This window comes from Homo sapiens, chromosome 1, assembly GCF_000001405.40.
Source record: "Homo sapiens chromosome 1, GRCh38.p14 Primary Assembly".
Lineage (NCBI taxonomy): Eukaryota > Metazoa > Chordata > Mammalia > Primates > Hominidae > Homo > Homo sapiens.
Window position 1 is genome coordinate 167518745 of NC_000001.11, and position 17773 is coordinate 167536517.

Consider the following 17773-nt stretch of genomic DNA (forward strand, 5'->3'; position numbering starts at 1 on the left):
TTTAATGCTCCTTTTTTTAAAAAAAATAATTCTTATCTAATTCCTATCTTGATTGGTAAAGTCCATCTCTAGGCAAATACAAGTTCTCGATGGATGTAAGAACATTTGCTGTTTTCCTAGACTGTCAAATATTTTATGGTGGCTGGCAAAATGACAGAACCCTGGATTAGAGTCCAGGACAAATGTAGAGACAGATTCCTTGGGCTTTAGTGACATCTCTGCCTACCACCTACTTGCTGTGTGGCGTTGAGTCAGTCACTCAACATCTCTAGACTTCAGCTTCCTTATCTATAAAGCAAAGAGCTGGAGTAGATCTGAGGTTGCAGATCTGAACTTGGCCTGAATTTGGATCATTGTGTGAAATACTGTAGCTCACATAGTATTTTAAACACTTGTGTTAGTTGTCAACATTTAAACACCAGAGTAATTTACAATAATAAAACATTAAAACCTAGACATAAACTTCGTCTAAAAATTGTAATATATCTATATGAAACAAACTTTAAAACATTGCTGAAGAACGCCGAAAGGACTTGGGTAAATGGAAAGGCATACCCTTCTTTGATAGGAAGCTCTCTTTTAAGGAGACCACCATTCTCTCTTAATTAATCAATCTATTTCATTGAAAATACCAACAAAAAGTTTTAGAACAAGTTAAGCTGATTCCAAAATTGATATGAAAAAAATTAATGTACAAGAATAGCCAATAATCCAAAGTCACAGCAATCCAACATAAAATTGATAAATTGGACTTCATCACAATTAAAAGTTTTTGTGCATCAAAGGACACTATGAAGAAAGTGAGTCCTGCAAATCACCGCATACCTCTAAGTGATGGAAACAGCATTCCCATCATCAGACTTGGTACCTACTCAGAGCCTAAATTGACCCCTAAGGGGGCCGATGACTTACTCAAGGCCACACAGCAAGTAGGTGGTAGGTAGAGATGTCACTACAGCCCAAGTAGTCTGTCTCTACATTTAGTCTGAGTCTTCATCAGTGAAGGTTGTCATTGGTCTGGGGTGCTGACACACTGATGAAGCCTACATATACCAAAATGAAGACACAGCTGGGGAGGCCATCAGGGGGAAAATAGCAGAAGGAAAGGTGCAGAGGAAGGATATCTTCTACTGTGGAAAACTGTGGGCTACAAATCACAACCCAGAGCTGGTCTGCCCGAGCCTAGAGAGGATGCTCAAGGTCCTCCAGCTAGATTGTGTGGATCTTTACATCACTGAAATACCCATGGCCGCTAAGCCAGAAGACAAAATCTACCCTATAGGTGAGAATGGCAAATGGTTATATCACAAGTCAAATCTGTGTGCCACTTGGGAGACTTCGGAAGCTTGTAAAGATGCTGGCTTGGTGAAATCCCTCGGAGTATCCAGTTTTAACAGCAGGCCAGCTGGAGCTCATCCAGAACAACCCAGGACTCAAACCCAAGCCAGTCAGCAACGAGGTTGAGTGCCACCCATATTACACCCAACCAAAACTTTTGAAATTTCGCCAACAACATGACATTGTCATGATTGCATATAGCCCTTTGGGGACCACTAGGAATCCAACCTGGACAAATATGTCTTCTCTGCCTTCGTTAAAGGATGCACTTCTAAAAAGGTGCAATAAGATCACAGCTCAAGTTATTTTGCGTTTCAACATCCAGCAAGGGGTGGTTGTCATTCCTAAAAGCTTTAATCCTGAAAAGATCAAGGAAAACCTTCAGGCCTTTGACTTTTCTCTCACTGAATCAAGGACATTGAAGCCTGGAGTGAAAATGTCCGCTTCATAGAAATGCTCATGTGGTGTGATCATCCCAAATACCCATTTCTTGATGAATACTGACTTCAGAGAGTTCCTGAACAGATTCTCCCCTCCCACGTGTGGAGGACCTTAGGGTGCATAGTTCCCCATGGACACGGAAATGAAAGAGGTTTTATTATCTGAAAAGTGGTGATGGAAACATGCTTAACTTTTGTATAGTGTAAGTGATTTTAACTCACCCATGTTAAAGACAAAATGTTTAAATCTGTTGAAATTCTTAGGAAATTATCACCTAATATTTTATTAGATAAATGTCTTCTGGGTTCCAGACCAAAAACAAAACAAAACAAACAAACAAACAAAAAACAATTAGATTCCAGAAAAGACTTGAAAGGCAACAGATGACAACCAGCAACAAGTAACTCATGAATGTGGGTAGTAACATTGTTAGCCTGAGTTCTTTAGCAGTCAACAGGACAACAAAGACAGCAGAGGGCCCCCATGTGCCAGGGTGCTGGCAGTGGCCTTGAGGACTTGAACCATTGACTGCAATACAGACACAGCCAAGATAAGATCCAGACATGCATTATTAACAAAAAAGTGATTTGCTGCACCTTGAGTAGGGAGAGAGGGCTAAGTGTAGAAAAGTCTTAAAATAGAGTCAATTAAACACCACAGTGATCAACAAAGCCATAAGGATTTTATTGTTGTTTGTTTCTATCCGATGTATGTTTGTTTAGCTTTTACTCAGCTTGAAGGATGCATACTTGCTGGTTCTCTTTTGCATCCTCAGAGGGTCTGAGTTTCAACATAACTAGTGGTCCATACTTACATTGTCTTATATTCACTCTTGCCACATTGATCATCGAATCACCATTACGTGAAGTGGCTTGAAACAACCAACATACATAAATAAAACTCTGCATCATAAAGTATTCCAAAGACGGCTATTTTAAAACAAGACATTTTATAAGGGGACTTTAGGAGACATATTGAAAGAAGAGGCTTTATAAAAGTACTATGCTTAAGTCTTTAAGAGTGTTATTGGGATAGCTATGTGAATTTTGAGAAAATAGCACGTTCAAAAGAACACTGGTAATTGTACTCTATGTAAATTTTTAAAGAGAATAAAATTATTAGAATTCAACAACAGAGATGTACCTATTTTCAGTTCAACTACAGAAATATATTTTATTCATTCATATTAGATCACTCTCACAGGGCAAGAGAGTTCTTCAAAAATTATGCTTTTCCAAGACCAATTGCTTATAGATAATCTTCAATGACCTGTACACATACATTTCTGAGAAAGTATCACTTAAAAACTTGATCTATACTGATTGTTTTCACTGATTCCGATGTTAATACTTACAATGCTTGTCCTCTAGACAATACTTTGTTCACAAGAAATCATGAAATATGATGACAAAGAAAGACAAAAGAAAGAACGAAGAAAGTGAAAAGACAACCCAACCCACAGAATGAAAGAAAACATTTGTAAATATACTGATAAGGGTCTAGGATTCAGAATATATAAATAACCCCTATGACTCAACAATAAAAAACATAACCCAATTAAAAATTGGCCAAAGATGTAAATAGACATTTCTCCAAAGAAGACATACAAATGGCCAATTAGCACATGAAAAGATGTACAACATCATTAGTCATTAGGGAAATACAAATCAAAACGACAGTGAGATACCACTTCTCACCCACTAGGATAGCTAAAATAAGAAAACAGACAATACAAGTGTTGATAAGGATGTGGAGAAACTGGAATTCTCATACATTTTTGTGGGTTATATAAATGGTGAAGCCCTTGTGAAAAATAATTTGGCAGTTCCTCAAAAAGTTAAACATAGTATCATGTGACCCAGCAATTCTATTCCTAGATATATACCCAAGAGAATCGGAAACCTAGGCTCACACAAAAACTTGTAAAGGAATGTTCATAGCAGCATTATTCACAGTGGCCCTAAACTGGAAACAATTCGAATGGCCACAACTAGGAATGGATAAGCAAATGCGCCGTATCCAAACAATGAAATATGACTCAGCCATCAAAAAGAATGAAGCACTGTTACATGCTGCAACTGGGATGACCCTTGAAAACATTATGCTAAGCGGAAGAAGCCAGGCACAAAAGGTTACATAGTGTATGATTCCATTTATATAAAATGTCCAGAATAAACAAATTCATAGAGATAGAAAGCAGGTTAGTAGTTGCCAGGGGATGGGGAGAGTGGGGAATTGGGACTGTCAATAGCTATGAGGGTTCCTTTGAGATGATGAACATGTTCTAGAATTGGACAGTGGTGATGGTGTGCAACAGAGTGAATATACTAAAAACCATTGAAGTATGCACTTTAAAATGACACATTTTATGTTATATGAATTATATCTCAATACAAAAATAATGCTAAAACAAACACAAGAATAGTTAGGAAAATTCTTGCAAAGAAGAGTAAAGAGAGTGAAATAACCCTGCCAGATATCAAACAATAAAAGGGGTGTAATTATCATACAGTACTTAGGGTACTATAGACTTAAACATATATGGTCAATTGGTTTTCAATAAAGGTACAAGAAAAATTCAGCAGGAAATGGTAGTCTTTTCAACAAATGGTGGTAGAACAACTGGATATCCACATGGAAAAAAAATTGACCCTCGGTTCATACCATACACAAAAATTATCTAAAATGGTTCATAGACCTAAATGTAAAACCCAAAACTATAAAATTTCTGGAATAAAACATAGGAGAAAAATATTTGTGATAGAACACAAAAAGTAAAAACCATAAAAGAAAAAATTGGTAAACTGGACTTTATCAAAATTAAAAGTTTTTGCTTTGTTCATTGAAAGACAGCAGTAGGAAAATGAAAAAGAAGCCATAGACTAGGAGAAATTATGTCCAAACACATACATCAGACAGAGGACTTATATCCAGAATATGTAAAGAACTATTTTAACTCAATAGTAAAGTAATCAACTCAATAAGAAAATGGGCACAAAGTTTGAATAGACAATTCCCAAAAGAAGATAAATGAATGGCCAATAAGCAAGTGAAAAGATGCTAAACATCATTAGTAATTAAAGAAAAACAAATTAAAACCACAATGAGATACTACTACATACCTGTTAGTATGGCTAAAATTAAATAACTGGTCGTTATCAAGTGTTGCCCAGGATATGAAAGAACTGAAACTCTCATACGCGGATGGGGGAAATGTAAAATGGTACAACAATTTCTGAAAGATCTGGCGGTTTCTTTAGAAAGTTAAACATACACTCACCATATGATCCAGCCATTGCACTCATGTATCTAACCAAGAGAAAAAAAAAAATATATATATATATATATATGTCCATATAAAGATTTGTACATCAACACTCATGGCAGCTTTATTTGTAATAAACTACTGGAAAACTACCCAAATATTTATCAACAAATGAATGGATAAACTAATTATGGTATATCCATTCAATGAAATAATACTGAACAATAAAAAGAAATAAACTGCTAGTGCACACAACATGGCTGAATCTCAAAATCAATATACTGAGTGAAAGAGGCCAGGCAAAAAGAGTACATATTGAAAGATTCTACTTACAGGAAATTCTACAAAATCTGAATTAATCTGTTGTAACAGATTTCAAACCACAAACTAAGAAAGGTACTTGCAGCACTGTGACAAAGGGCTTAGTTCCTTAATACATAAAGAGCACCTAAACATTATTCAGTTTTAGCAAATAATTTTCAAGTGTCCACCAGGTGCCAAGCATGGTACTATACACTGAAGATATAACTGGGAGTTAAATAGACAAAATCCTTGCCCTCGTGAAATGTTCAAGCTGACGGGAGTCTAAAACAACGTTAAAAAAATGAGAAAAGGACTTGAACAGAGAGTTCATGGGAAAAAAAAGTAACACATAGCTGTCAAATGAATGAAAGATTACCAAAATCACTCATAGTAGGAAAAAATCGAAATTAAAATTACAATGAATACATATCAGATTGCTATCAGCTTCTCCACTGGGTTCCGTCTTCCTTTGCTTCCCAAGGAAATTGCCCCAGATATTCTCTTTTTTCTCTCCTGCATGTCAGTATTTTCCTCTAAATTGGATCATTCCTATCTGTATACAAGCATGTTATTTCTCTCATCTTAAAAAACTCAAAGACTTATATAGCATTTGCACATTGGAACTTGCCATATTTCTTATCGCTTTGGGAATCCAGTCTCCACACTAAGAAGCCTGTATTAACCCGCTGGAGACACGTGGCACAGCTGACAGCCAGCGCTGACTTCCAGACAAGTAAGGCTCTCTTACATCATCCAGACCCAGCTGAACCAACAGAGGACTGCAGCCACGTGGGTGACACCAGATGAGACCGGACAAAGCACTGCCTGAGTCCAGCCTAAGTTGCTGGCCGACAGAATCATGAACTAAAACGGTTGTCGTTCTAAGCCACTGAGTTTGGGAGGATTGTGACATACCAAATGATAACAAAATACTCAATATCCCCATATCAATCTCAGGAATTGCCCTAATTGGCCCACCTTGGGCCATATGCCCACTTTTTGGATAAACCAGTGCTTCCAGGGGGTCAAGACGAGATTGGAGCTGGAAAACTCTGGTTTACAGCCTTAGCAGAATCATTCGTAATAGAAGAAATGAGGGGAAAGGATTCTGGGCATATATAGAACAATGACTGTCCACGACAGCCAGCCTTGCCCTGGTGTGTGCAGTGGGATGGGGTTGGCAACTAGAACGAGGCTCACGCTTTGCAGAGGGGCACACAGGCAAGGCCCAGAGCTGGAGCTGAGAGGAAGCTGGATAGAACATGATGACCTGCAGCTGTGAGTTTCTCATGGTGGAAGCTCTGGCTCTTCCTCATGATTGAATCCCTGCTTCCTGATATATTTTGGTGGGTGGGTAGATGGATAGATGGATAGATGCATGCATGCATGGTTGGATGGATGGATGGTTGGGCGACTCAGTGAGTGAGTGGCTAGATGGATGAATGAGTAGGAGGGTGGCTGGTAACATTCAGGATGGCAGGAAGTCCAATACTATGTAGGAGGATGCCCCAACTTCCTCTCAGGAAGAGCACAGTAAGGGAAACCCAGAAGCTGGTGAATGGAGATTTTAGCTGGAAAAGTTGTCATTGTCATTACAGAGAAGGGCCCCTGCCATTGAGGGGCTGACTGGAAAATTGGGTAGCGTAAAGAAAATGTAAAGACAAGGTATGGGGGAAGGGACTGGGGCTCAGGACTGGGACTGAACTGATGGAAGCCAAATGGCTACAGCTACAAGCAGGAACAATTTAAAGTGTAGGGCCAAGCAGAATATAAGCAGCCATGTGGTAAGAGGAAGATGCTGGTGCTAAATAAATTCTCATAATTCTCCAAATAAGTAATGCTGGTGAAGTAATTATTTTAACTTGTCCAGCATCTTTCCCCTCCCTTTTTTGGAAGCAACCTCGTTTCCCTTGGAGGGGAGCGCATATTCCCTCAACGGAGTGGGATGTATGCCGCTGGCTGGCTCCCGGTGTGGGCATGGACCCTGTGACAGCCAATCAGGCATCATATCCTTCTGTCTACAAAGACCGGCTCAGGGAGGGCCCATGAGAGCCATTTTCAAGATTCTTGCTGGAACTCCAGGGAAAGGGGCACCATTTTCCCGTAGAGAATGGTGACCGTGGGGTAGTGCAGCCTGCAGCAGTGGAGGCCGTCTATTTCCCACCGGGAGAGAGCCTGACGGGATGAGGCCAACAAGAGGGAAGCAGAGCCCAGAGACAGGAAGAGAAGGATGGTTCCCATTTTGCCCCCTTGTCAGTCACAGGAGCCAATAAATACCCCTTTTTGCTCTTTGGGTCGATTCATCAGAATTTAGTGGGAAAGCTTTGTCTGCACCTAGAGGAGAGGTTGTTCTGAGGCGCCAACGTGCTTCAGGTGAGCTGGGTCTCTTCCCACAACCACTTGCTCCCAAGGGGCCCTCCCAGGATTCAGATTTCCCTGGGGTTCTTTCTCTACAACAGCTCCTTCTAGGCAACAGGGACTCGGCACTGAGCCTCGCAATTCCCTGGCTCCTGATCATCAGAGAAAACAGCACAAAAAAGAGGATTGGTCTCTGTCCCTTGGGGTGTCCAGAGACAGCCTCTCCCAAGACCCCTGTGAGGGGAAGCACTTCCCTAGCCCTTGAGACCCCAGCATGTTGACCCAGGCCCTGTGCCTCCCTTCAGCTGACTGGTCCAGGGCTGGCAAGCAGCTGGAGGCCCACACAGGCTATTCCCTCACAAAGTGCATTTCTGCTGGCAGGATCCCAGCCAAACACCTCGGTGGAGCCTTGTCTCTTCAGCCTCAACCCGAGGTTTCCCCAGTCATAGCCTGTGTATGAGCCCCTCCTTTTGTGACCGCAAGCCTTGGCTCACAGGAATCCTTTTGCCTGAAGGCCCTTCTCTCCTTTCCCCAACCCAGGAGCTTGGTCTCGGACAAGGTGTAAATATCCCTTCACTGTGAAGCCTGGCTCACACCTACTAAACCTATTAGCTATGTCCATCGCATATTGTTTAGTGCTGTGTTAAAAAACACTTGTCACTTTTTGCCTTGGTTATTTGTTTACACAGATGTTCACACAATGATAATCCAAGCTCTTCAAGAGCATGGACGGAGTTTTATTCATTTTGTAATCTTTAGTGTCCAGTACATAGTTGGTATTTAATTTGAGAGAGAGAGAGAGAGAAAGAAAGAGAGAGAGAGAGAGACCAGACCATTCCTGACCCGAAAACCAGATGGGGTAGAGAGCAGCAGGAAACAAAATTTAAATGCTCTCTGGGAAGTTCAGTCCCCGGGGTTAGAGACCATGTCTTAGGCAATTTGAATGGCCAGAACTGAATGCAGTGCCTGGAACATAAAAGGTGCTCCGTTAAAATTTACTGAAGGAATGAGGGGGCATGACCCCAACTACTGTTATCGAGAGGGGAATGAGGGGAATGGGTTTGCAGAAAGGGCCAAGCATCCCTTTAGTGACAATCCCAGGTAGAATCTGCCTTCTAAGATGCTACATTTGGGCCAAGCATGGCCCCCTCCCACCACCACCTGCACACAGATCCACATCTTATGGCTCTGATGGACTCCTTGGGCTCCATGACTCTTTCATGTCTGACCAAAGCTGGAGGAGAGGGCAGAGCCTAAAGAGCCTAAAGGAGCCCCCACCGGCTGGGAGTAGAGGCTGAGGAAACTGACATATCAGTAACTGCTGGTCCTTTTTTTTTTTTTTTTTTTTTTTTTTTTTGAGACAGGGTCTTACTCTGTCACCCCAGGCTGGAGTGCAGTGGCATGATCACAGCTCACTGCAGCCTCGACCTCCTGGGCTCAAACGATCCTTCCACCTCAGCTTCCTGAGTAGCTAGGATCACAGGTGTGTACTGCAACACCCAGCTAACTTTTTCTGCTGTATTTTTTGTAAAGACATGGTTTCACCATGTTGCCTGGGCTGGTCTTGAACTCTTGAGCTCCAGTGATCGACCTGCCTCAGCCTTCCAAAGCGCTGGGATTACAGGTGTGAGCCACCACGCCCAGCACCAGTCTTTATCTGAGCTGAATTTGGCTGACTTTGAGTGTGGCCCAGGATATGACTGCATATAGAATGTAATTTCAGTGGATTTCTGATCCCTAAAACACACCCTCTCCACTCACCTACTAATATCCACCCAAAAATACATGCTTAGAGAGTCACTCTTTTGGCTAAAATTATAATAATGGTGTGTGGGAGCTGGCTGATATCAGCACATGAGAGCCAACTGTTAAATTTTCAGGAATTTTCCCAGTTGGTTGTTAAATCATTGGTAACTTGAAATTGGCTGTGGTGGGGGCAGACATTATACATGAAAGTTCATTCTGTATGCCCCAGCACACCACTGACTAAACACTTTTCTTCCATTCAGAAGCAAATGCCCTTGAGAGATATATAAAGCCTTATCAGTTATTTATACCTTTGTGTTAAATACTGAGTCACAGACCATTGTCCCAGTTAGATGGGGACTGGAAATCATTAATCTAACCTTTATTTAGTAAATGAGAGAATTGAGACCCAGAAAGGTAACATGACTTACTGAAGATATAGAATTAGCTAGTTTCAGAGTCCAGACTGCAACTGAAGTGCTCTGATTCTCAGTAAACGGGATGCCATAATAGACATTATATGCTTATATTTACACCCAGCATCCCTTCCTCCCCCCAACCCCCATATTAACCCTGGCCAGACCATGCAGTACAAGTGGAGCTAACCCCTAGCCTGTCTGCGCTCAGGGATGGTCACATGACTAAACCTGCTCCATTAGAGTATTCTGTCTTCCTCGCCATTGTAACTGATTAGGGGAAGAACATATTAATGCAGGGATGTTTTTGTAGGCCTGGCATCAAGACCCCCATCTTCTAGCAATAGTATCAATTTTGCTTTGAAGAGTCAACTATTCTCCACGATTATAATCTCTTTTTTTTTTTTTTTAATGGAATCTCTCTCTGTCGCCCAGGCTGGAGTGCAGTGGTGCAATCTCGGCTCACTGCAATCTCCACCTCCCAGGTTCAAGCAATTCTCTGCCTCAGCCTCCTGAGTAGCTGGGATTACAGGTGCCTGCCACCACTCCCAGCTAATTTTTATATTTTTAGTAGAGACGGGGTTTCATCATATTGGTCAGGCTGGTCTCGAACTCCTGACTTCAGGTGATCTGCCTGCCTTGGCCTCCCAAAGTGCTGGGATTACAGGCGTGAGCCACCGTGCCGGCCGATTATAATCGCTTGATGAGGCTATCAGGTAATGTCAATCAGCTGCTTTCTCCCCGGACTTTAAATCTTAACAGAATGAAACAAGACCTGGACATAACCCTTGTTTGTTTCTCCTTCTTGGATCCATCCCAGAAGTTGCTCATATTCTGTGGCTACACGAACACTGTTCCAGCCAATTTCCTTTTTTGCTTAAGCTATCCAGAGCTGATTTTTGTTGCTTGCAACCAAAGGATCCTGACTTACACAGTAGAATTTTTGGAAGTTGTATTAGCTTTCTATTGCTGCATAACAAACTATCACAAATGTAGTGGCTTAAAACAACACATTTATGATCTTACAGTAATGTAGGTCAGAAGTCCTGATATAGCATGGCTGAGTTCTCTGCTCAGGTACTTACAAGGCTGAAATCAGTGTTGGCTGGGGCTGCAGTTCTCATTTGAGGCTCAGGGTCTTCTTCCAGGCTCATTGGTTGTTGGTAAATTTTATTTCCTCTCAGTTATAGGAGTGAGTTCCTGTTTTCCTGCTAATGATTGGCCAGGGAATGCTCTCAGGTCCCAGAAAACACCTGCAGTTCCTTGCCAGGTGGCCCCCATAGGCAGTTCACAATGTGGATGTTTGCTTGCTTCTGGCCCAAACACAGAGCATCTCTCTGACTTAGTCTTCTGGAACCAGCTGGAGAAAACTCTGATTTTAGAGGATATGCCTGATCAGGTCAGGCCCACCCAGAACACTCTCCCTTTGCCACATAAAACCGCAAAAGCACAGGAGTGATAGCTCATCGTATTCACAGGTTCTTCTTACGATCACGAAGATTGTACCATGGCGTGTCAATCTTGGAGGCCACCTTAGGATCCCATTTCTCACAGAAATGCTGTTCAAAAAGATGCTCCCTTCTTCCTCTGGGAAGATCAGACACGCCTGGTGTTCATCTTTTTCACCAGATGGAAGAAGCTTGCCTGGGAATGAAGCCAACACAGAGAACAGCTGAGCAAGAGACATAAAGACAGGCAGAGCATTTGCTGCATTGTTGAGAACCTGGATCGTGCCATGCCTAGCTGCCTGTCCCAGGGGCTTTTCCATCTCACGAGCCAATAGCTTTTTTCTTAAGTTATTTGACTTTGATTCTGCAACTTGGAATTGAAATGGTCTTGAGTATTACAGATGCTGAAATTGCATGGCTATTAAAGACATGTTTGCAAACTTCACAGCTGGCACAAATCCACTTTGATGGGAGATTTACCTAGTGCGCCCTACCCCTCAAAAGACTAATTGCCCTTTAAAAAATTAACCGCACAATTTTGGGGCTTTTTTTTAGTGAGACACTAAGGAGGAAAAACACACCTAATGTCCAAACACTCCAGAAAAAAAAAAATGAAAGTAAAAGGCTGCACAAAGATTTTCTATCAAAAGCCACTGTGAAAGATGGCAAAAAAAATAAGCTGGGGACATGGGTAAGATTAGAGAGATACTATGAATGGATAAGATGAATTGCAGTTGACCCTTGAATGACTCAGGAGTTAGGGCTGCTGAACCCCATGAAGTAAAAAAAATCTGCGTATAACTTTTGATTCTCCAAAAACTTAACTACTAATAGCCTACTGTTGACCAGAAGCCTTACTAACAACATAGTCAACTAACACCTATTTTGTATGCTGTATGTATTATATACTGTGTTCTAACAGGAGAGTAAGCTAAAGCAAGGAGAATGTTATTAAGAATATCATAAGTACGAGAAAATGCATTTACTATTTATTAAGTGGAAGTGGATCATCATGAAGGTCTTTCTCTTTTTTTTTTTTTTTTTTTTGAGACATAGTCTCACTCTGTTGCCCAGGCTGGAATGCAGTGGAGTGATCTCAGTTCACTGCAACCTCCTCCTCCCTGGTTCAAGCAATTCTCCTGCCTCAGCCTCCTGAGTAGCTGGGATTACAGGTGCCCACGACCATGCCCCGCTAATTTTTTGTATTTGTAGTAGAGACGGAGGTTTCACCATGTTGGCCAGGTTGGTCTCAAACTCCTGAATTCAGGTCATCCTCCTGCCTCAGCCTCCCAAAGTGCTGGGATTATAGGCATGAGCCACTGTGCCTGGCCATCACAAAGGTCTTCATCCTCATTGTCTTCACATTGAGTAGGCTGAGGAGAAGGAAGAGGAGGGTTGCTCTTGCCATCTCAGGGGTGGCACAGGTAGAAGAAAATCCATGCATAAGTGGACCCATGCAGTTCAAACTCATGTTGCTCAAGGGTCAACTATAGTTATATATAACCTACTAAATATTGCTATTGATAGCCAAGCCCCTTTAATTGGAAAAAGAACCTTTTTTGCTTTAATGGGGGTGTCTTACATTTGTGTGTCATTTTCACATATTAATATATTGTATTTTTTAAATTTATTTTTGAGACAGGGTTTTACTGTCACTCAGGCTAGAGTGCAGTGGTGCAGTCATAGCTCACTGCAGCCTTAAATTCCTGGGGCCAAGCTACCCTGTCGTCTCAGCCACTTGAGTAGCTGGGACTACGGGTGCACACACCACAATGCCCGGCCAATGTTTTAATTTTTTTTTAGTAGAGATAGGGGTCTCCCTGTGTTGCCCAGGCTGGTCTTGAACTCCTGGCCTTCACGGATCCTCCCACCTCGGCCTTCCAAAGTGCTGAGATTACAGATATGAGCCACCATGCCCAGCCATATTGTCTTTTTAATCTTGATGACTCAGTAAGGTTGTCAATATTGGTGTACCGTTTCCATTTTATTTATTTATTTATTTAAATTAAAAAAAAAAAATTTTTGAGATGGAGTTTTGCTCTTGTTGCCCAGGCTGGAGTGCAATGCCGCGATCTCGGCTCACTGCAACCTCCGCCTCCCAGGTCCAAGCGATTCTCCTGCCTCAGCCTCCTAAGTAGCCGGAATTACAGGCCCCCCACACCACAACCGGCTAATTTTTTGTATTTTTAGTAGAGATGGGGTTTCACCATGTTGGCCAGGCTGGTCTCAAACTCCGGCTGCCCCAGCTTCCCAAAGTGCTGGGATTACAAGAGTTAGCCACCATGCCCAGCCAGTTTCCATTTTGTAGTTTAGGAAACTTAAAATTAAGTTATTTTTCTAAGGTCACAAAGCTGGTAGAATCAAAACTAAAACTCAAGTTTTCTGGGTGCTGGTTCACAGTAGTGGAAGAACATGAGCTTTAGAACAGGTTAGACCTAGGTTCAAATTCCAAATTCCATCTACTAGCTGGCTGTATGTTTTGAACAAGTTAATAAATATCTGAAATCTTTTGTCCCACATTGGCTAACAATGCCTACTGTACTGTCTTGTTGGAGGAATGAGTAAGATGATGTAGGTTATGTGCCTAGTATATAGAAGGTGTTGGGAAATGTTACATCACAGAGAGGAGGAGAGGACTGTAAAATGTTTGCTGGCAACTGCTCTGGGAAAAATCCTTCCAGGAATGATTGGAACCCAGCATGGGGAATGGGGTCACTGTCTTGGTGGAAAGGGTGGGAGATGAAGAGGAGGAAAGAGGAGGTGGTGTGGACAAGCCCTCCTATGGGGAGGTGAGGGAGGCCCCACATTCCCAGAATAGGGACCTGTGTGCTTCCTCTTTTTATCCCTCCAAAGTTCTTGAGCACTAGGTCAGAATTTAATGCACCTGCCTCTCATTCGTTATGAATAGACAGTTGCAATTCCTGGGACTGTTGGAGGTGATGGGTTTATTCTCAGAAATCTTAAAAAGGCATTTTCTGGGCACCTGAGCAAACACAAAATTATCCTGTGGAATGAGCAAGCTTCGAACGCTGAGACCCTGGGGCATCTGAAGGACCAGCTAATAACCATGTGCTAAGCAGTGTGTATTCCTAAGTTCCTCAGCTCTGCTTTTTAAAACCCCCCACCCCCCGTGCTCTGACTTGACCAAATGGTCTTCCCTCAGTGGGGTGTGTGGAAAGCAGCTGCTATGGGAATGCACAAACCTGGGATCTGCTCTCAGCTTTGTCCTTTACTTGCTGTGTGACTTTGACCAAATCACTTCCCCTCTCTGGGCCTGGGTGTCCTCAGCTATACAATGAAGAAGCTGAACTAGATGGTCTCCACAAGATGTCTTCCAGCTGGAAATTAAATTTTCGTATAATGATTCCTGCTTCTCCAGTGCCCCTTTCTCTTTCAGCTCCACTAGCTGTTACCTCCCCACAGGGTTGTGCTGTGTGCTGCCTCTGGGCCACATCCCAGGCATGCAGTGATGGCCCATGTCCAGGGTTCCTTCCCTATGAGGGTCTGGCTCCTGGCCTGCAGGGTCTGCCAAGACACCCTGACTTCATGCAGATTACATTTTTGTCTTTTCTAAAAGTGAAAGACGAAAAGGTTGCCTGAGTTTGCCCAGGGTGGAGACAGCCTGACCTGGAGTCCTCACAGAGCCCATCCTGGCCCCTGGGAATCCACTGGAACAGGCCTGCAACCCCTCGCCTCAGGATTAAACCTGAGGGCCCACTTCTGGGGACTGAAGGTCAGGAACCTGTGAGTCTCAGCATTAGCCCTTGACAGCCCCTTAGAAGGGTCACCAGCTTTAAGGGAAGGAAGAGTGCTTATCAGGACAAAGAGGGGCCCTCAGTTCCAGCAGGGCCAGCTGGTCTGGCCCAAGACAGGAGGATTAAACAGAATTCTTGGATGTTCAATGCGGCTCCATGGGGACCTCTAGCGGCTGTTTTGTCGAACTGCGGTCTCCAGCCTTCCCAGCCTCAGGACATTCCACACCTGGATGGATACTAAGTAATACCAATAACCAACATCTATCCTAGGCAGCGTCCCTGATTCACAGAGGGGAACCTCTTGAGGAGCACTTGCCTAAGGCCACCTGGCTAAGTGGTTGAGCAGGAATTTGAACGCTGCCGCTTGACTTCAGAGTTCATACTGCCTGCCCTCAAAGATGTGAGTGTGCTCCTCATGAAAACCTGGTGTTTTCCAGCACATGGCACTTGCCAATTCTATACGATGCACCTCTAAAACAAGTGAGAAGACATCTCTTCAAAGGACCCATGTGCCACCAGCAGTTGAGGGGTCACCGGATTCTTGGAGACAGAGCTAGGTTGAAGGGATGGGTCTGACACGTGTAAACTTGCCCAAGGTAACCATTTGCGAATCCAACCTCCTCCACGAAATAAAAATAAAGAGTGTCCTGCCTATCTCTAGGGCTTGTTGCAAGAGTTAGCTGAAACGCCACGATTGAACATATTTTATAAAATTAAGTAATTTGACGATTATAACTTTTATTTTTGTGAAAACAACCTGTAGTTACCAACCGATATTTGAAGCTAAAGAAAAAAAATGCAACCAGTATTTATGGAATGTTTGATATATTGGATAGTGTTCTGTGTACTTTTTACGTATTAGCTCGAACTTTTTCCTACAAACCAGGGAGGCAGGTCCTATTTTTATTCTCCATTTTACTGATGAAAACCCTGCAGCCCACACAGGGGAGGCACCTTGTCCATGATGAAATAGTGATGGAACGAGGATGTGTTCCTATGCAGCCCCACTGCAGAGCCACTGTGCTTGATTTTGACACTTACTCTGCTGTTCTTCAAGGATACATTCCAGTCTCCCAGAGAGGATGCAATGAGGACCCCCAGAGCTTGAGGATGCCTCTTCTACTGGCCCTAACAAGGATCACTGCTGTGTCAGGCACTGTGCTAAGTGATTTGTGGACATTTTTGCTAATCTGTACTCCCACCTGTGAAGTATTGCCCTTGCTTTACAGATGGGGTCTAAGGCTCTGAGAAGTAGAATGATTTGCCCAGGGCCACGTGCAGCAAGTGCACAACTAGCTCAGAACCCAGTGCTCTCGCAGCCGAACCGCTCCTAACCTCCGCTATACTGCTCCTGCTTGGCTGCTCCCCCCATCCATCCACCGGTGGGGCCCCCCACAGCCCAGGGCTCCCTTGGGCTCTGTTCACACTCTTTTTGCCCTCTCTGGGATTCCATGCATAGGAAGCAAAAACTTCTAAAGTAAGAAATGGCCCGAAAGCCAGGTGCCACCAACCCATAAAGTGTCATTTTTAGGAAAGATGCCCTTTGGGGTGATGCTGCTCACACCAGGACAAAGGCATGAGCTCAGGCTGGGTTTCAGCCCCTGCTTCCCTGTCAGCTGGGGCCTTTGTGCAGGATACAACCTGCAAAAGCGTGTCGTAAAACCACAGTCCAGAGCAGGAATGGACTAGAAACCATTGAGGATAAATCTTCTTGCGTGGGTGGGCCTGGGAGTTATCAAAGGAGGAAAGGTTTGGGATGAACAAAGCAGCCTTATCATTTATTCTCTTCCAAACACAATTACTATAAGCTGAATTGTTTTCCCCCAAATTCATATGTTGAAGCCATAACCCACCCTATGATTGTATCGGGAGGTAGAGTCTTTAGGAGGTAGTTAAGGTTAGGTGAGGTTGGAAGGTTGGGGCCCTGATCTGACAGGACTGTGGTCTTAGAAGAAGAGGAAGAGAGAGGCCAGGCGTGGTGGCTCACGCCTGTAATCTCAGCACCTTGGGAGGCCGAGGCAGGTGGATCAAGAGGTCAGGAGATCGAGACCATCCTGGCAAACACAGTGAAACCTCATCTCTACTAAAAATACAAAAAATTAGCCAGGCGTGGTGGCGGGCGCCTGTAGTCCCAGCTACTTGGGAGGCTGAAGCAGGAGAATGGCGTGAACCCGGGAGACGGAGCTTGCAGTGAGCCGAGATAGCACCACTGCACTCCAGTCTGGGCGACAGAGCGAGACTCCGTCTCAAAAAAAAAAAAAAAAAAAAAAAAAGAGGAAGACAGAAAGAGATCTCTCTCTGCCATGTGAGGAAACAGCAAGAAGGCGGCCGTCTGCAAGCCAGGAAGAAAGCCCTCCCCAGAACCCACTCTTGCTGACACCCTGATCGCAGATGTCCAGCCTCTAGAACTGCGGGAAATAAATACCTGCAGTTTAAGCCACCCAGTCTATGGTATTTTGTTCTGGCAGCCTGGGCAAACTAAGACAAAGATAAATCCCAGGGTCACAGATGACTCTTGGCAACCAAATAGGAGAGTTTGTGTTGACCGACTCTGGGCATGCATATAATGTGCTGAATTCCCCTTCTCAGAGCAGCCGTAAAGAGAGAGAGGAGACTGTGTCTTGGTTAAGCTGCTCTGCCCTCATTCCATGCTCAAAAGCGTATTTGAGCAGCGTCTATACATCAGGCTTTGGGAACAGAACA

At 43.4% G+C, this 17773-nt stretch overlaps 1 long non-coding RNA gene and 1 pseudogene across 1 annotated transcript; one reads left to right on the forward strand and one right to left on the reverse strand.

The window, feature by feature from the left end:
• AKR1D1P1 (aldo-keto reductase family 1 member D1 pseudogene 1) lies at positions 804 to 17343 on the forward strand (annotated as a pseudogene).
• Positions 10795 to 17051, reverse strand: LOC107985224 (uncharacterized). The gene is made up of 2 exons (XR_001738279.2): positions 14519 to 17051; positions 10795 to 11511 (listed from the first exon to the last, which is right to left on the reverse strand). It is a non-coding gene; the product is annotated as an uncharacterized LOC107985224 (long non-coding RNA).